The sequence below is a fragment of the Homo sapiens genome, chromosome 11 (genome assembly GCF_000001405.40).
Source record: "Homo sapiens chromosome 11, GRCh38.p14 Primary Assembly".
In the NCBI taxonomy this organism is placed as follows: domain Eukaryota; kingdom Metazoa; phylum Chordata; class Mammalia; order Primates; family Hominidae; genus Homo; species Homo sapiens.
In genome coordinates, this window is record NC_000011.10 from 35,970,103 (window position 1) to 35,984,344 (window position 14,242).

General features: G+C 44.1%; 1 protein-coding gene across 3 annotated transcripts in view, besides 2 other annotated features; it reads left to right on the plus strand.

Moving 5' to 3' along the window:
• Positions 1–14,242, plus strand: part of LDLRAD3 (low density lipoprotein receptor class A domain containing 3) — a 288,075-nt gene that overhangs the window by 26,041 nt on the left and 247,792 nt on the right. The window lies entirely within an intron of this gene.
• Positions 2,046–2,235: an enhancer, noted in NCBI's record as "active region_4628". NCBI's record gives its function as "activates an Ori minimal core promoter by ATAC-STARR-seq in GM12878 lymphoblastoid cells {active_cell/tissue: GM12878}" and the evidence as "EXISTENCE:reporter gene assay evidence [ECO:0000049][PMID:35858748]".
• Positions 7,469–7,970: an enhancer, noted in NCBI's record as "NANOG hESC enhancer chr11:35999121-35999622 (GRCh37/hg19 assembly coordinates)". NCBI's record gives its function as "activates a minimal SCP1, AML or CMV promoter by ChIP-STARR-seq in primed H9 embryonic stem cells {active_cell/tissue: H9 hESC(primed)}" and the evidence as "EXISTENCE:reporter gene assay evidence [ECO:0000049][PMID:30033119]".

Genomic DNA, 14,242 nt, shown 5'->3' on the forward strand with positions numbered 1-14,242 from the left:
CTTAGTGCTTTTAGGTCATTATTTAATCCTCTCACAATCATTCAAGTAGGTGTCACAGGTTAAATTGTGTCCCCTGAAAAGGTACACTGAAGCCCTAAAACCTGGTACTTGTGAATGCAAACCAATTTGCAAATGGGGTCTTGACATATGTAATTCGTTAAGACACAGTTCTGTTGGACTGGAGTGGGCCCTAATTCCCATGACTGGTGTCTTTGTAATAAGAGGGGGTACACAGACACTCACAGAGGGAAGATGGCCTTGTGAAGACAGAGGCAGACACTGGAGCATGTAGGTGCAGGGCAAGGAATGCCAAGGATTGCCAGCAACCTCCAGAAGCCAGGCAAGGAAGGATTCTGCCCTGGAGTTTTCAGAGGAAGCATGGCCCTGCCGACACCTTGAACTTCTAGCCTCTAGAATTGTGAAAGAACATATTTTTGTTGTTTTAAGCCACTCAGTTCGTGGCAATTAATTACAGCAGCCCTTGGAATTAGTATAGTTAGAACTACTTAGAAGAATATTAACCCCATTTTATAGATGAGTACATCAAGGCTGAGAGGTGTTAAGCATCTTGCCCCAGGTCACTCAGTTCATAAGTGGAGACAGACAAATCAGGTCTTGCATAATGCCGCTGCCAAGTCCATGCATTCATTTTCATGATGGAGCCAGCAAGGTGGTAACTTTCTAATGCTGGGTATCTAGGACATCTTAATGAGCAGTTTAGTCTCAAAGGGAGATTGCCCAGTTGCAGTTTAGATCTGCTTCTAATCCTGGATTTGGCCAGAAGATTCCTTGATTGACTCTGGGGGAACCTTTACCTTTATAGAGAGGATACAGGCCTGGTATTTTCTGTCCAGGGGATCTAAGCATGGGGTGGAGTATGCCATCTCTCCCTGGTGCTCAGCCAGGCCTGTGGGTCATCAAGGACCCAGCCCATTCTGCAGAGAGTTTAGACAGCTTGCCCAAAGTCTATCTGTAGTTGGAAGAAGCATGACTGGAAGGGAGATAATGAAAGGGTGCCATTTCTTCCTGATCTCTCTAATTCTGCCTGTACCCTTACCCCCATCTGAACTCCCACCCCTGCCTACACTACCCTTCCATCTGGGAGAGAGAATAGTAGGCAGGGGTCATGTTTTGGAAAGGATATTATTTCAAGGGCGTTGGGACCCCAGTGAAAGATTTTATTGAGGGGAGTGACATGACCTGTTGGACACTGTGGTGGGCTGATTTGCATCCCCAAAACTCATATGTTGAGCCCTAACCCTCAGTACCTCAGAAGGTGACTGTATTTGGAGATAGGGCCTTTAAAGAGATAATTAAGTTACCTGTTAGGCTGTTAGGATAGGCTGTAGCCCAGTTTGACCTATGTCCTTGTAAGAGGAGGAGTTTTAGATACACAGAGAAACACCAGGCATGCACATACACAGAGGAAGGACCATGTGCAGACACAGTGAGAAGGTGGTCATCTGCAAGCCAAGGAGAATTCTTGAGAAGCCAAACCTGCTGACTCCTTGAACTTGGACTTCCAGCCTCCAGAACTATGTCTGTCATTCAAGCCCCTCGGTCAGTGGCATTTTGTGATGGCAGTCCCAGGGTACGAATATAGAACCAAAAAGATGAATTGAGCCTCAGGGCGGAGAATGGATAGGGGAGCAATATTGTGGGTATTCAGAACAGCCGGGAACTCACAGGAAAGAGGAAGGTGGTGTGGACCAGGGAGATCTACAGAGGTGGGAGGAAGAGGACAGATTACAGAACTGTGTAGGAGCCTTAAAACTGATTATTGGGATGGGGAAGGAGTGGGGAAAGAATCCAGGAAGATCCCAGTATTCTATCTGAATGGATGGTGGCTCCATTCACTGGTTTATGGGAACACTGAAGGAGCTGCCGGTGTGGGGGAGGAGTCCCAGTTGTCAGTAAGATGTTCTCTGGCAACTGGTTTTTGTATCTGGAGCTCAGACAAGAGATCTGGGCAGGGATGGGGATTTGGAAAGTACTGGCATCTAGATGACCACTCAGCTGTGGGTACCAATGAGGAGGAGGAGACGAAAACTTGTTAAGCACAAAACTCTGTGAAACCCCAGAGTTTCACAGAAACCAGATCTTAAGGGAAGGCACCACCGTAGGAGAATAAGAAGGGGAATCACCAGACCACTGTGCTGAGAAACTGAGGGAAAGACTGTTTCAGGATGACAGTTCAAGACACGGGCCAGGATTTAGGAGTTATCAGCATGGAGATGTTAGGGCGATTCATCAGTGAGAATCTTAAAGGGGGAAGAGCAGAGGACCAGAGAAACCACAACAGCTTAAACTTTTTTTTTTTTAATCGTTTGTTTTCAAATTGGTAATAGATATAATGGTATAAAATTGGAAAGAGAATTTCTCATCCCTGCTGCTTCACTGCACAGTTTACTGGTTACCCATTCTCCAGCCCAGAGGAAACCAGCCCTCAGATTCTTGTGTGCTACTTCAGAGGTAGCTGTTTACGTGCAAGAATGTATGTAGGTAGGTATGTCTGAGCAGATAGATAGTCTGAATTTAATTTCTTTGCAGAAACTGTAGCATACCATGCATCCTATTCTACAAATTATATGTATTTATTGATTTGAATTTTATTGTTTGAAAAAGAAATGCAATCGTATGGTTCAACATTTAAAAGGTATAAAAGAGGTCAGGCGCGGTGGCTCACGCCTGTAATCCTACCACTTTGGGAGACCCAGGTGGATGGACTTCCTGAGCTCAGGAGTTTGGGACCAGCCTGGGGAACACAGTGAAACCCCGTCTCTACTGAAAATACAAAAAAATTAGCCAGGCATGGTGGTGTGTGCCTTTAATCCCAGCTACTTGGGAGGCTGAGACAGGAGAATCACTTGAACCCGGGAGGCAGAGGTTGCAGTGAGCCTAGATTGCACCATTGCACTCCAGCCTGGGCAACAGAGCGAGACTCCATCTCAAAAAAAAAAAAAAAAAAAAAGGGAGCACATAATGAAAGCTGTCCTTTTGACCTGACCCCAGCTGCCCTGGTCTCCTCCCTGGAGGCACCTCAGTTTTGTTTTGTTTTGTTTTGTTTTGTTTTTTTTGATTATTGTTGTCGTTGTTTACTTACTAAATATATTTCAGAGATCTCTCTTTCAGAATGGAAAGATTCCTTATTCTGTGTGTATGGTTCATGGTATTCTGTTATATATGCACTATAAATTATTTCACTCTAAGCTCCTATTGGTAGACAGGTTGATTCACATCTTTGCTGTGACAAACAATGTTACATTGGATAGCCTTATGCATATGTCATTCTAAATACCTGTAGAAATGGAATTGTTGAGTTGAAGAGTCAAGGGTGTTTGTAGGTGTTTTGTTTGTTTGTTTTGTTTTTTTTGAGGTGTAGTCTTACTCTGTCTCCCAGGCGGGAGTGCAGTGGTGTGTGGCGTGATCTCTGCTCACTGCAACCTCAGCCTCCTGGGTTCAAGCTATTCTTCTGCCTTAGCCTCCCGAATAGCTGGGACTACAGGTGCACGCCACCACGCCTGGCTAATTTTTGTATTTTTTTTTTTAGTAGAAGTGAGGTTTCGCCATGTTGCCCAGGCTGGTCTCCAACTCCTGACCTTAGGTGATATGCCCACCTCAGCTTCCCAGAATGCTGGGATTACAGGCGTGAGTCACCGTGCCCAATCACATTTGTAGTTTTGATAGTTACTGCCTTGATGTCCTCTAGAGAGGCTGCACCAGTATACTCCCCACCAGCACTAAATGAGGGTGCCATTTTTCCCATTGCTTTTCAATCAAGTGTGTTATCACACATTTTGATCCTAGTCAGTGTCTCATTGTGTTTCTCACTCTTATAATGAGGAAACATCTTTCCATAAGTGTAAGAACCATGTGTAGTTTCATTTCTATAAACTGTTTATAGCCTTTGCTTTTTTTTCCCTATTGAGTAATTAATCTTTTTCTTATTGATTTGTAGGAACTACTTACATATTACAGAAATTAGCCCTCTGTGATACAAGTTGCAGATATATTTTCTCTCTTAATCAGATTTATTAGTCTTTTCTTTCATAGTTTTTGGACTTTCACTTAGGAAGGCCTTCCTCACTCCAAAATTACACATTAAAAGCATGTTTTCTCTTTTGATGTATTTTTCTATTTAAATCTTTCCTCTACCTGGAATTTATGGTTATATCATGTGAGAGTGAGGGATCCAGCTTTATTTTTTTTTTTCAGGGGCTACCCAGTTGTTCGGATCATTTGTTGAACATTCATTCTTGCTCACTGACTTGACCTCTCTTCTGTTGCTGCTGTGTAACAATATTATCACAAACTCCATGTTTTAACACAGCACACACTTACTTACTATGTCACAGTTTCTGCGGGCCAGGAGCCTGGATACAGCTTAGCTGGGCTCTCTGAAAGCCTGAAATCAAAGTGTCAGCTGAAGCTGCAGTCTTATCTGAGACTCGACTGGGGAAGGATTCAATTCTTAGCTCAGGTTATTAGCAAAATTCATTTCCTTGCAGACAGCCAGATTAAAGGCCTCATTTTCTTGCTGGCTGTTGACTGGAGGCCAGTCTCAGTTTCTTGTCATGTGGGTCCTCCATACAGTCTCTTGTTTCATCAAATCAGCAAGAAAGAGAAGGACTCCAGCATGATGGGAGCTGCAATACACACATCTGGTCACCTTCCATTTATGGATTAGAAGGAAGTTGCAAGTCCTGTCCACATTCAGGGGAAGAGGATCACACAAGGGCATGATGCCAAGAGGTGAAGACCATGGTGGGGCCTTAAGAGTCCACCTGCCATCCTAGGTTTATTTTACTTTAAATTTCTATGGGTATATACCTGCTTCTGTGACCCCACCAACTTTTAAGGAGTGAAGCCAGCTGCAAGAAGTAAATGCAATGGGGCTGAGCTCATCTTTCCTGATTCCCTGGTTAGGTGTGGAGCCTAACTCTGTCCAGTTGTGGACTTCATTTCGTAAGACCCTTTGGCAGCTCTTCACTGGCTGAACTTGATACATATGCTGCCTGCTGACTTCATGTCCATAATCCATGTCTCCAGGCTGTGATAACCTAGGAACTGCTTGGGTATAGGACAAGCTTACTACCTGTTTCCATACATTTGGCCCCGAAATTCTGTATTTTATTAGGGATTATGTTCATATTGTTAAATACTACTTTTCTGGCCACACCACTGCTTCTTGGTGAAATCAAGTGTGTCATTGCAACTTGAAGATGTTGTCCTAGTAGTAATAGCAAACAGCAGTAATAGCAAAGCTGTGGAGTGTTTGAGTTGCTGATGGATTAGTGCCAATCTCTCTCCCTGAAGAACAAGAGCATGCAGAACAGGCATCTGGAAGAAGGATGGAAATTCTGGCAGCTGTGTTCTCTGCATTTTCGTTTTCCCCACATTTCCTTAAGTCAATTTTGTTACCTACAGTTCCTGGCCAAAATAATGCTTCCATTTCCTTTCCCAAAAGTCATTATAGATTGATTGACCTGTAGGGGGTAGAGAACTCAGACTCTAATTAAAAGATGATGGGTTAAAGGAAGTTAAAAACCAAAACGAAATAACAAACAGTATAGGCACTGGAGTGCAACTGGTGTAATCTTTGGTACTGAGCTTTGTAGGACAGAGAGGTATAGGATGATGCCGTGATTCATGAGAGAAGGTTGGAGAATGGAACCTTCAAATGGGCTGAGCCAGAGAGCTGCCCAGGAACAGGAGGGAGCACTGGGGATTTTTTTTTTTTTTTTTTAGAAGAAGGGTGTGAAGCCAAAAAGAGTTGTCAGTTGTGTTTGGATGTGCTGATGGTGGTAGAGACTTCTGAGAACAGGTGAGTAGAGCATTGTGTGCCCAGGCTCAGGAGAATGTTCATATAGAAGATACCCTGGGCAGGTTGGGGAATCAGTTGAAGAGAGGGACCCTTTTTGATATCAGGTAAGAGGAGTTGGGCTGGTGAGGGGTGGAGGGGTCTCATTTTCCTAGGAGTGTAGGGTGCTGAAAGGAAGGATAGGGCCTAGTTCCTGAAGCAGAAATGTGATGATCTCAGAGTTGGGGACCACATGGATGGGGTGGGGTGATGTTGGCAGGAAACCTGCCTGGTAATTCTTTAAACTTGTTGTGAATGAATGGCGTCATGGTAGAATTTGAACTTGGAAGTGTACACAGTTAGATCCTTATGTCCCTTCATAATTAAGACAGGCATAGTTGTAGGGATTAGTTCTGTGAGTCCAGCTCTTCCTGAGATGCAGAGGGGTCATATCTTGGTGGGAAAGGAGGGTAGGAGGCAATATGGGACTTTATGGATGTTGGAGCTGGAAAGTTTCTCCCCAAAACAGGTGATGAGAGTTGGCTAGGTGGCCTCCGAAGGAGATCGTGTACAGGAGAGGTATGGAGGCCCAGGGGCAATGGATGAGGGATGCTTTCTGGAAACACAGACATAGACACAGTCAGGAAGGGGATGCTAGTATTTCCTGTGTACCCTCATTTCCTCCCCTCCTGTGACAGTGCATGAATTTGACTTCATTCATCATGAAACTTACTATGTTCCAGGCATCGTGTTAGTCACTTGGGGGTACTGAGTTGAATAACACAAAGTCTCTTCTCTAGGAGCTTAGTCTGGTGGGGGTGGGGAAGGACACTATGAGGTGTCTGAGACGATGTTGGAATGAATAAGTCTTCCATTTTCAAAAGAGTCTATTTTAGTTGAATTTTATTATATCGCAAGGTGGACGGTGATTTAAGGTGTGTGTTTGTGTGTGTGTGCGTGTGTGTACACACATGTCCATGCATGCATGTGTCTGTGTTTAGCTGTGTTGCTTTGGCTTTTTATTTATCTTGGAGTTCTAGAAATATGCATGCTTACAACATATTTACAAATGTGGTTTTTTGGGTGTTACTGATTTATTGAAATTCAAGCTCGAATTCAATAACTCACCTTATTAGAATGAAAACTGCATTGCTCAGGCATGTGTTATGCCTATTGAGTGGCTTTCAGAGCCTGCTGGAGGTAGGTAATTCAGGGTGGCATGGTGCTAGCTCCATGCTATCAGGGACCCAGCTCCCCCTCTTACTTGGTATTCCTGTGCTAAGTACCTCATGGCCCAAGATGACTGCTTGAATACCAGCCATGTCATCTGAATTCCAGTTGGAGGAAGGCAGAAGGCACCAAGAAGGATGGGCTCCGTCTTCTTAAGGATCCTTCCTGGAAGTCACACACTGAACTTCTGCTTACATCCCATTGGCCAAAACGCAGCCACATTTTGTTGCAAAGAAGACTGGAGAATGTGCTTAAGTAAAATCAGGAGTCTTTTTAGTAATTAGAAAAGGAAAACATATAATGGGGCCGGGAGGAGTGTATGAAGGGGTTCATTATGAAGGGAAGAGGACCAAATTCCAGAATTTTACTTCTGAAAACTTCACAGGGCTATTTTACAGAAAATATGATCATTCTCCCAAGCAGCTTTACTAGAGGAATAAGAGGTATCCTGGGAGAGTACAGGTAGGGAGAGGCCCAATGAGACGCCCGTCTTAGGTCCTTTCAAGCTGCTATAACAAAAAACCTTAGACTGGGTAATTTATAGACAATAGAAATTGATCACTCACAATTCTCTAGGCTGGGAAGTCCAAGATCAAGTCACCAGCAGATTCCGTGTCTGGTGAGGGCGCTCTGCTTCATAGGTGGTCCTCACATGGTGGGAGGGGAAAAAGGCCCTTTCAGGCCTCTTTCATAAAGGTGCTAATCCCATTCATGACCTAACCACCTCCTGAAGGCCCCATCTCTTAACACTATTACATTGGGAATTAGATTTAAACATAAGAATTTTGGAGGTACACAGACGCTCAGACCATAGCAGTGCCTTCAGATGGTGGGCTTAGGGAAAACAGATGGTGGTTTCAAACCTGAGCCCCTACATCAGTGGTCACCGTGGCAGACTCCAGGATGTGGATATGGATTTATAATAGGGCTGCAGCTTCCTGTGTGGGTTCCATGGGATATGCTCCAGAGTGAGGCACAGTGGGGATCTTCTTACTGATTGACAATGGCTTGTGATTCTCCCAAGTGATGCAAGGTAAGCCAGCTTATTTAAAATAACCAGGATGTCTAATTCACATTTTTAGGAGGAAGGGAAGTAACACTGAAGGCTGTTTCCCATTGCATCAAAGGCAAAATCCAAACTGTAGTCGTTTGTGAATGGAATCCCTGCCTGTCTCCAGCCTCACACTCACTCGAGGTGTGCCTGCCTGCAGTGCTGCACTGCTCCCTTCAGCCTTCGTGCAGGGTCATCCAGGGCAGGGCAGCTTCATCCATTCTGTTTGTGACATTGTGTAACACGACCCAGTACGGCCATCAGTTAAATGTGTTTGCTGTCGTGGTAGCTCTTCTTGATGTACTAAACTCCTTGATTCAAGATGGGCTGTTCCTCACACATCTTTGGGACCCCAGCTTTGCTTTGCTTGGGACATGTGATTCTGACCCAGTACCCCAGACCTGAAGGCCCCTCTATGTGTCAGTCCTGAAAGGATTCGCTGTTTTCTTAGCCTCATGGTCTCTCCTAAGCAGGAGGCATTGCTTTACCTAGAGCAGATTATTGAGCTGGAAAAGACAGTTAATAGGTAAATTGATCACCAGCTGAGTCCAGGATAGTCAGCTCAATGAAACATTAAAATTTTAAACACCTGCATTCAGAGTTGTTTCTCTAACATTCCAAGTGCTTCAGGTCAGGGGAGGAAAGAGGAGTTATTTTAGCTTAAATTATGCTTATCCTCTGAGGGGCACAGCTATTACTATATGGTTTCCCTGAACTTGGGCTCATTTTGGATTTTGCTGAATGGTTTACACATTTTTCCCTTATTAGTGAATACCAGAATCTCAGATTTGCAAAGGATTCTTTAATAAGGCTGTTCGTTCTCAGCCATTTGCTTTCATATTTGAGTTGTTTTTCTTTCCACACATTGAATAATGCTCCACTCCGGATCTGAGGTGTCTGCCTAGAGTGTTGCTTTCATAAACATGGTGAGGAAAGACAAGAAGAAGCAGACCCAATCTGTGGAAACTAGCCTGGTTGATAATTCAGGTGGTGGGCACCAGGAAACAGGCATGTGGTTTTTCCTTTGGGTACCCTCCAGCCGAGTAGGGCCCGGGCTCCTAGATGGGACAGTGCTGCATTAGAGTTTGGTCACAGGCTTGACTAGGTGGAAGAGCTTTCTGAGAGTTGTGTGCAAAAAAACACTTAGCTGCCGTTCCATATTTGCTTGCTTGATCCCCTTGGCTGCTTTGGGACTCATCCAACCTATGACCTCTCTGAACTTGGAAAATGAAGTTGCAGTTTTGGCCACAGGATATTTATTGATGGTGGAAGGGTGTGGAAGTCTCTGAGTTGCAGTTGTGTTGTAGTATGATAGAGTTTTCCTTCCTGAGGTTGACCATGGCTTAGTCCTTGCTATACAGGGTAGTGTGAGGATTGGATTTCTCAGGTTAGCGGAGCTTTAGACGAGCGTTGAGACTGTCTGTCTCAGAGCCTCTGATCCATTTGTTTTAGGTTGTTGGAGTTTATTTGCCTCTTCTGAAGACATTGGGAGAAGCCAAGTTAAAATCGAGTTAGGTTAGTTCCTAGGTACCATACTTGAAAGAGAATTTATAAGATATACTGAGCCTTGTTGCTCCGTGTTGAGAGATGTGGTGGTTGATGTACCTGGGACAAGGTTGTTGAGCCAGTGGCATTCTCCTGGGGAGGGCTCTCCTGGTCTCCCGATTTCAGCCAGGCTCACAACTATTCTACTGGATATATCCTCTTCCCTTTAATTGGCCAATTGTTTATCAATGCGGAGCATCATCAAGAATGTTAGAGAAGGCCTGATGTCTCTTTGCTAGAAATATCTAAACCGGCTGTTTAAGTGTTCTTGTCTTTAAAATAACAATGTGATGGAAATTATTTAAAAATGAAGCCTTTTAATTGAGCCTTAATCTCCAGAGAAGTATTTTTATGAGATTTATAATGTGTTTAGTAGCTCTCTAATGAGTTCATCAGTTTGCATAATGCTGATTATCCAGGCAATTCAAAGTAATTTACAGCTATATCTTCATTACTATGTGGTAGATATTATCCCCATTTTATTGCTGGGGAAATTGAGGCTTCATATAGTGAAATAAATGACCCATGGACAGTCAAACCACAGAAAAGAATTACTGTGCTGGCATTTTCCCCTTCCTTGATACCATTGGCTTTATTGGGATGGGCGTTATACGGCTTATTGGCTCCTGTTAGGGAACCGATCCACTGGTAGATTAGTTAGTTGGTTTGAGTTACTCCTTTTGAAAATGAGGTTTCTGTTTCTGTTTATATATATAAAATGGAAATTCTAGTTCATTTAGCTCCCCTACTGTGAAGGTTAATGAGTGTATGTGAACTTTGTTAAAGTTTGGGAGAATGACACTATGAGAAATATTATTTTATTAATGAGAAACTTGGATTCTGCTCCTGGGCCTTGTGAAAGTATTTTCTGGTTTTCCAAATGCGAACAGGTGCTGATAAATCCTTTTCTACTCACTCCCTGCCCAACCCAGCTGAAGACTTCTTTTATAATATTCTCCCCGCTAGCCAGATGTTTTGAAATAGCAAAATTATTAAATAATAATTTGTATTGTTAAAACATGAATGAAATACAGATATAGCTATGAGAGTTTCTACTTAGAGGTCGTTCTTGTTGCCTTGCAGATGTGTTTTGATTTCAGCCAAGAACAAAGATATTTGATATGTCAATTGCCCAGTGTTTAGGAAAAAGGATAATTTTGGTTACTGCTTTTGAACTAGTGGTGGGAACCTTGGAAATCCCCCACAGTCTGGGGACCCCAGTTTAGAAGCTATTATTGGGGACCCTCGGGCCACTGCTGACCCCAGGGGAGGCAAGACTTCCTCGTTTGGATTTTGGTTTTCAGATTGGTTGGGGGAAATCTCACATACGGGAAGAAGAAGAAAAACAAATATAAGTAAGTTTCCCTTTGGGGCCATGGTCCACTTACAGCTGTGACTTGGACCTTTCACTTCTATTTCCTAAATGCTCACGTCATTAGGCCATACTTTTGGGAAACGTGAGGGCAGTGGGCAGCGGGCGGGGGTTGGGGGTGGGGGGGCTGAGTCAGAGGGAGGGAGGGTTTTGTGGTGACAACCAGAACTCTGCAGGCAGAGTAACTTGGGACTATAACTTTGCTGTCTGTTTCTCAGCTATGTGACCTTGGCCATGTCACTTAACCTTCCTGGTCTCAGTGTCTTCATTTGCAAAATGGAGGCAATAACGACCTCAGTGGGTGGCTGTGGGGATTAAGTGGGTTAAGGTTTGTGAAAAACAAACAAGAACAATGGGGGTGTCCTTGGCTGTTAGTATTAAGAACAGAAAAATAACTCATGAATATCTCAGATTCTGATAGCTGGTGCACACGCTGATGAAAAGATTTGTTTTCAGATCCTCAGATTTTTTTAGGAGTACACTTCTTTAATGTTCATTTAGATGGTCCTGATGCTGTGACCTTCTCTTTCTCTTTAGAAAAGGAAGTCGATTTCAGTAGGGCCTTCTCCTTGCCTGCAGTTTGCCAAAGTCGCATTGGCAGGATAGACTTGGAAATGCAAGGGTGCTTGGCATCTCCCATCAAGTTGGCATTTCCCTGGCTTTAGCTTTCGACAGGAACCAGCTGTAGCCCTGCTCAGCACAGGCTGAGAACACACTGTGGGGGTGAGCGTTTGGGTGCTTGAGGCATGCTTTTGTTGCATGTTAGAAAAGCTGTATTTTCTGCTTTTGGTTCTTCCACTGAAAACTAAAGGACGATTCCTTCTTACTTGGCCGTGTAGCCTGGGAGTCGGAGCTCTTTGGGCCTTCCATCACCAGTGTTGTTTCCTCGGCTGTTCTGGGTTGCAGCAGTTAGTCCTACGTTCAGGGCCAAGTTGTGTGCCTGCACTCAGGAACAGGCACTATATTATTAAATAGTTTTCTGGAGTGGGTGTAACAAAGTAGCAAGACCGAGTGGCTTAAACAACAGAAATTTATTGTCTCACAGTTCTGGAGGCCAGAAGTTCTACATCAAAGTGTCTGCAGGGTTTGTTCCATTTGCAGGTGGTGAGGGAGAATCTGTTCCGTGCCTTTCCCTAGCTCCCCGTGGCTTTCTGGCACTCTTTGTCGTTCCTTGGGCAGCATTCCCTTGGTCTCTGCCTTCGTCGTGACATTATGTTCTCTGTGTGTCTCCACATCACTCTCTCTCTGTACAGGTCTGTCTCTGTGTACAAATATCCCCTCTTTATGAGGACGCCAGTCATGTTGGATTAGGACCCACCTTAATGACCCCATTTTAACTCGATCACTTCTGTAAAGATCCTGTCTCCAAATATGGCCACATTCTGAGTTAACTGGAGGTTAGGACTCCGGCATACTGTTTTTGGGGGACACATTTCAACCCATAACTAATATGTGCTAATTTGCACAAAGTAGCCTACTCATGAAGCCATGGACTTACTGTGCATGCCCAGAAGGTGTGCCTTTTAAAAATCCACTCAAGGGCATGTCTGGGTAGCTGCCACTTGCCCCACAGTCTGTCATCCCCCTTCCTCTCTTCCCATGCATGTTGTTGTGCAGCTTGAAGACAGCTCAGCTCTCTCTAAGGTGGCCTTTTCTTCTGAATTCATTATACCCATGTGCATTCCATTCCTTTCCCAAGGCCACTGCTTGTGACATTTCTTGTGTCTGTGTTTAGGCCTGTTTGCTGCTTTTTTTTTTTTTTTTTTTTTTTGAGACGGAGTCTTGCTCTGTCGTCCAAGCTGCAGTGCGGTGTCGCAATCTCAACTCATTACAACCTCTGCTTCCCAGATTCAAGTGATTCTCCTGCCTCAGCCTCCCGAGTTGCTGGGACTACAGGTGTGCACCACCATGCCTGGCTAATTTTTGTATTTTCAGTAGAGGCAGGGTTTTACCATGTTGGCCAGGCTGGTCTTGAACTCCTGACCTCAAGTGATCTACCCGCCTTGGCCTCCCAAGGTGTTGGGATTACAGGCGTGAGCCACCGCTCCTGGCCAGTTGCTGCTTTTGAACTAATCCTGGGAACTTGCTTGATTATTAAATATATTTGAGCCTTATTTCCTTACCTCCGTCATACACACATTGAAGATAAGGATCATATATCAACCCTATATTGGGTGTATAGATTAAATAAAAGATACCATCAAAATTAATTTTACCTGTTCCTTTTTACCTGTTTGTAATGTGGCTACTAGAAACATTTTAATTACATATGTGGCTTGCATTATATTTCTGGTCACTGCTCTCTCCCCGTATCCATATAACAAACCGCATGGACCTGTTTGGGCTATGAGGCTAGATTGAAGGTTTGGAAGGAGGTTGGCATGCAGTGCTCTCACTGGCTGGCTTACCGTTCAGATGGCAACACCTAGACCCCTGTAGGGGGGTGTGTGGCGGTCAAGGTATGTGCACTCAGAACTTGTGAATCTGACCTTATTTGGAAAAAGGGTAATTAAGTTAAGGATTTTTATTTATTTATTTATTTGTTTTTTAGACAGAGTCTTGCTCTGTCACCCAGGCTGGAGTGTAGTGGTGCGATCTCAGCTCACTGCAACCTCTGCCTCCTAGGTTCAAGTGATTCTCCTGCCTCGGCCTCCTGAGTAGCTGGGATTACAGGTGCACGCCAGGCTAATTCTTTTGTATTTTTAGTAGACACGGGGTTTCACCACGTTGGCCAGGCTGGCCTCGAACTCCTGACCTCAAGTGATCCGCCTGCCTCGGCCTCCCAAAGTGCTGGGATTACAGGCGTGAGCCACTGTGCCTGGCCAAGTTAAGATCTTGAGAAGAGGTCATGCTGGATTATCTAAAGCCAATGACAAATGTCCTTATAAGAAGAAAAAGTTTGCTAATGATGAAGGATTTTTTCTGCTTGTTGAGAAATCTGATGTCTTCTTGGTGCTCATTAAGTACTTGTTGAAATAGATTGCTCCATTTTTGGGAAAACAGCATGACATACTGATTTACCTAGAGATTTTGGGTTCCCAGCAAACATTTTAGAAAGGGCCCTCACACTACTAATTGCAAAATAAACATCTTCAGCCTCATGTGCAGCTGACTTATTTGGCCAGTGTTTATGTTTATGGGGAAGAGAAGGAACATTTGTTGACCGCCCACAATGCATTAGGCATTTTTTTTTTCATAATTACTTCTGTTAATCCTCATGCTAGGCCTGTGAAGTGGTTTATTG